General features: G+C 42.2%; 1 annotated feature.

Annotated features, from left to right (window-relative positions):
- Positions 3,976 to 5,175: an enhancer, noted in NCBI's record as "BRD4-independent group 4 enhancer chr2:68146782-68147981 (GRCh37/hg19 assembly coordinates)". NCBI's record gives its function as "activates an origin of replication core promoter dependent on BRD2, P300/CBP, MED14 and CDK7 cofactors, and independent of BRD4, by STARR-seq in HCT116 cells {active_cell/tissue: HCT116}" and the evidence as "EXISTENCE:reporter gene assay evidence [ECO:0000049][PMID:35650434]".

Genomic DNA, 5,553 nt, shown 5'->3' with positions numbered 1-5,553 from the left:
ATCATTTTATCATTTCATCATTTCACATGCCTATTGGCTGTTTGTGTCTCTTTGGAGAAATGTCTGCTCAAATCCTTTGCCCATTTTCAATTAAGTTATTTGGTGATTTGTCTTATTGTTGAATTATGTGAGATGGCTTTATAGGTGGGGAATTCATTTCAGTAATACTAGATTTTATTTTATTTTTAACCAGAAAGCTGTGAATACAATTTCTACTTGTGTAGGGTTCTGATGGTTGGTTATATTTTCTGGGTATATAGTTCCTTCATTTAGGTAAATGTTTGAATGTATTATAGGATAAATGCCAGGGAATTCTGAGCCGAGGAAGAGGAAACCAGTGAAACATATTTGGAAACTTATGTTGGAGACCAGAATATGCCACCCAAAAATATGACTGTAGAAAATGGGAATATGCTATACCAAAATATGCCACTTTGGCATAAGGATTACTTTGAGAGACTACAGCCACAGGGAAAGCTCTAAAAATAAAGTAGAAGTTACCCTTTTGTAAGGAAAATTTACATCTATAAAGGAAACTTCCATTTGTAAGGCTGTCTCCCTCTCTGAACCAGGAAACGAGGATGACTGAAAAATCCCTGGAGACTCTTATCAGTGGAGAAGGCACCAACTTAAATCTGCAGAAAAAACCTTGCTCTTGTTTATTGTATTTTTCCCGAACCCCTCCCCATAACCTGCCTTCTCCCATACCCTTCTGTTTTTGTTTCAGAGAACTGTTAGCAGCAGCAAATCCATAAGGGTGGGTCTGCAGCAACCTCAATTCTTGCCTCCTCAGAAGAAACAATTCGAGTGAGGGGCATAAGGCAGAGTGACAGACTGAGGCAAGTTTTAAAGCAGGAGTGAAATTTATTGAAAAGCATTAGAGCAGGAATAAAAGGAAGTACACTTGGAAGAGGGCCAAGCAGGCGACTTGAGAGATCAAGTGGGTGGTTGAATCTTTGACTTGGGGTTTTATACGTTGGCATGTTTCCAGGGGCTGTGTCCCTTCTCCCTGAGTCTTCCTTTGGGGTGGGCTGTTCACATGCACAGTGGCCCGCCAGCACTTGGGAGGGGCTGCATGCATAGTGTGTTTACTGGAGTTGTATGCATGTTCATTTGAGGTGTTCTTCCCTTACCAGTTGAGCATTCTTAGAAGAAGGTCGTATACCAGTTAAACTCTGCCATTTTGCCTCTTAGTGTGCATGCTTGAGCCCAATGGCCTAACTCCTGAAATCTTATCGGAGCTGTTTATCATCAGTTTCAGGTGTTTCTATCTATTGAGAGACTGCCTTTCCCTGGTGCCAGCTGTGACTAACTATTATTTTGGAGAGCCAGTTTAGCAAACATCTGACCATCACCTGATAATTGTCTGATATTCCTGGTGGTGGTGGGGGGCCTCTCCTGCTCTGTTCAAGTCTGAATAGCTACCTACTGTAACAGAGCTATAGTTTTTAAGGCTGAACTCGAAGCCACCTCTTTGAGATTTACTCATTTTTTCCCTGGGTCTCTCCTTTGTATACAGGAGGTATCCATGTTACTAAACTTTTGTTGTTTTTCTCTTGTTAACCTGTCTTTTGATGAAAGAAACTGTCCTAACTAAGAAATATGTAGAGTAGAGAGAAAATTATTTTTCCTCCCCTATATTTACTCTCCAGTGAAGACTCCCCTATATTTACTCTCCAGTGAAGACTTTTGTCATTACGGAAGTTTTGGTGCTTTCTTTCTTTGTGTGACCCCACCTTTTATAGGGTGAGAATATACATATATATATATGTATATATATATATATATATACACTTATATATACTTAGTAGCTAAGTACCAGTTTGGTTGGGCTGCATTTGTGTTTATTGATCATATATATATATATATATATATATATATATATATATATATATATATATAAAGTGTTTTCCTCTCTTCCTCTATAAAACAGTTCTTGCTGTGGTTTTCTTACTTCCTTTAATTGCTGAACTCTGGACACAAGAGTTGAAGGTAGGCCGAATAAGTTGTTTACCTCCTGCTGAACAGATTCTACTTTTGTTATTTGGACCAAAGTAGAGAGCCTTTCCTCTCTGACTATGCAAATCTAAAGCAGATAAATGTGAGCTATCAGGAGCCAATTTGCTGGAAATCTTCCCCTTAGTAATTGGCTTCATATTTCAGCTCTTAGAAAAAGTCGGCTCTCATTACCACCCCTGCCTTCTCCCCTCAAGGCCAACAGAGAGAGAGGTAGGGTTCACTGGTGACAAGGAAAGGAGAGAAGGAAATTCCAGATGAGTTATTATTTTTTTCTCTTCACTGGCTTTACTTCCAGGTGCCCCCTCTCAGTCATGCTTCCTCAGAAAAGCAGCTCATCAGCCGGCCATGGCCTCCTTGCCAATGGTGATTGTGTCCTTCCCACCCGAGCTCACTTTACCAAGATAGGAAGTGACAGGCAGGGAGACCTCCTGCTCTTGGGTTCTTGGGAGGGGAATACAAAGCATTATATCAAACACTGCCACTAGGCCAGCTCTTTTGGGTTGCATTAGGCAGTCGAGCATTTTGCTGCCTGCTGAATGTCATCTCATTTAACATTTTGTTAAACAACTTCTAAAGGTCTTAACAATATGACAGATGGGCCATTGACTGGGTACTTAGTAGCTAAGTACCACTTTGGCTGGACTGGATTGTGTTTATTGTTCATTAAATGTTATTTAAAGAACTCAATCATTTATGCCTCCAACCCCCTGCCTACCCCTCAATGCACACTTTCTGCATGACCCCTGGGTGTCACATTAGAGGCTGGTGTCTATAGAAAAGCCCAGCAGAAAGGAAAGGGTGAAGAGAGGTGCAGAAAGAAGAAATGAGAAGACAAGTAGAAAGAAGTAGAGGAGGGCAGAAAAAAAAGAGTGTGTGTGAGGGGTGAGGGATGCCTGGAGGGGGATTATGGCACCCCTCACCCCTCACTCACACCTTATGTTAAAGGCAAACATAATGGCCAAATGAGACAGAGAAAAGTGGATTACTTCTGCAGATGGCAGGTCCTGTCCATCTTGGCTTTAGTTCTAGAGAGGGCCACCTTCCACCTTGATCCCAAATTCAGAGGAAGGAAAGAGGGTTCCCTGAAGTGGTTGCACAGATTGCAGCTGGCATTGCACTGTCCTGTATGTGTCTTGTGTCTTGTCTTCCCAGTTAACTGTGAATGGAGAGCAAGGATCCTCTTTTCCTTTGTTTACCCCAAGACCTGGATAACAATGTCTGACCTACAATAAGCACTAAGTAATTTGGTTTTGTGTGATCATGAAATATGCCAAGGCAGCACAGTCAGGTGTCTGCTCATCAGATTCTAGATGGACAAGTCAGGTCCACCAGGGCCAGTGCCATTTGATTGGCTGGAAGCATAACTGGAATAGGTCCATTGCCAGATGCACACAGCAAGTCAATATACCAAGACATGGTGTTGCAGCAGAAAGGGAGGTTTAACTGTAGGGCTGCCTAATGAGCAGGTGGGAGGAAACCTCAAATCTGTCTCCCCAAAGGAGTTCGAGGCTAGGGTTTTTAAGGGGTTCAAAGTAGAGATCATTGATCGATGGGAGGGTGCAGGGTGAAGTCATGAGACAGGCAGATGAAGAAATTCTATTTTCATGCAGATTCGGTTTCTCCAAGGGGGTGTTTAAACTGGTTGACATCAGCTGTTCTGCTGGAATTCAGGATTTGCTTAATCAATTCTTAAACAAAAGCCTTATGATTCTAACATCGGCGATTCTATCTAATGTCAGAAATCCTGTCTATAGGAACAACGGGGATGTGAACGGTCAGTATCCAGTGTTCCATGACTTTCAGTTACAAGGAAGTCAGCCGAAGTGAAGCCTGATTAATGCTTAATTATAACTCTATTTCTGTCCAGAATTGTTAACCCTATGAGGATGGCTTCAGAACTGAAGTTGTTTTAAATAACTTTCTTTCAGCCCAGTGGTGAGATGTCAAAGCCCCCCAGTGAGGGAATAAGAGCTTCACACTGTTCTGGTGTTGTCAAAAGCAAAACTACTACTGAAGACAAAAAAAAAAAAAAAAAAAAAAAAAAATTAAAAATGGCGCAAAAGCATTGATCATTATCACAATATGGCAGATCAGTTGTAGAATTATGTTTTAATTAGATTTAGCATTGCTCTAGAATGTCCAGTCTAGAGAGTGACTTAGAGAATGTCAGGGTGTTAAAAATGGAGTTTTGGTGCCACAAAAGACATAGCACTCGAATGTAAAATGTTCTTTTTAATTCTCAGCAAGGCAGTGTACTTCTATAGAAGGGTGCGCCCTTACAGATGGAGCAATGGTGAGCACACACTTGGACAAGGGAGGGGAAGGGGTTCTTATCCCTGACGCACGTAGCCCCTGCTGCTGTGTCGTTCCCTTATTGGCTAGGGTTAGACCGCACAGGCTAAACTAATTCCGATTGGTTAATTTAAAGAGAGTGACGGGGTGAGTGGTTTGGTGGGAAAAAATGGTTATGGCAGAACAGGAAATCAGAATGAGTCAGGGTGGAGAATGAGCAGGTTATTGGAATTAGTCAGGGTGGAGCAGGTAATCGGAAAAGGTTGCTTTACGAGGAAGTTAAGCTTAAAAGTAGAAGGCAAAGAATTGAACATACTGACATATTGATTCTTTGAAATTTAGAACTCATATCTAACAAGGGCTACTAGGAACTTTAGGAATCAGCCTGGTTCGATGGCTTCATGTAATCAGATGGAAAAGTCCCAGGAGCTTACCTGTGGTCACACAGTCAGACAGCAGGGAACAGCAAGCCGGCAGTCTGCCTCTCGGTGCAAAGTGGTTCCCATTGTTTCAGTCACAACTCTTGATTGTAAGTGAGAGAAACCTAGTGGCTTAAACAAACTAAAAAGAATATATAAGCTCATATTATTGGGAAGTCCAAGGGTGCACTGACTTCAGGCATGGAAGGATACAGCGACTTAGTGATAAGATAAGGACATTGCTTCTTTCACCACCTCTCAGCTCTGCTGTCTTCTGTCTTGCCTTCATTCTTAGGCCCTCCCCACATGCTAGAAAAAGTGAACAGCAAGAGCTCCAGCTTGGCAACCCAGTAGATGGAGAGCAGCTCTTTCTTACTGGTTTTGTTAGGTCCTTGACTTGACTTTCTCTGGGCAGCTCTGGCTTCAGGCCTGCTGACCCCTCCTGGATGCTGGGAGTAACAAAGAGTCTTTACTTGACCAAACTTTAGTCAGAATCCTCTGAATTTTCTTCTTCCCAACCAGGCCTTGACTTTTGTACTTTCATGTCTGTCTTTGTATCACCCAATTTTGACAAGAATTTTGTTAAGCTGATTTAGCCAGAATCCCCCACCTTTAGTATCTGATTGCCAAATATCTCACCAAATTCTTCACTCCCACCCTCCCCTAGGCAGCCTTCAGCAATAATCTTGTTAGTTTGGTTTAGGCAGAATCACCTCTCACCCCCGATGTTTCCTCTTAGTAATTTTTCATCCATCCACACCGTCCCCCTGCCCCCAACTGGCTAGAAATTTCTACTTTTCCTCATTGTATTCAGAGTTGAGCC

Source organism: Homo sapiens, chromosome 2, assembly GCF_000001405.40.
Source record: "Homo sapiens chromosome 2, GRCh38.p14 Primary Assembly".
Taxonomy (NCBI): Eukaryota; Metazoa; Chordata; class Mammalia; order Primates; family Hominidae; genus Homo; species Homo sapiens.
The sequence above is the reverse complement of the archived record's forward strand: the minus strand, read 5'-3'. Positions and strand labels throughout refer to the sequence as shown.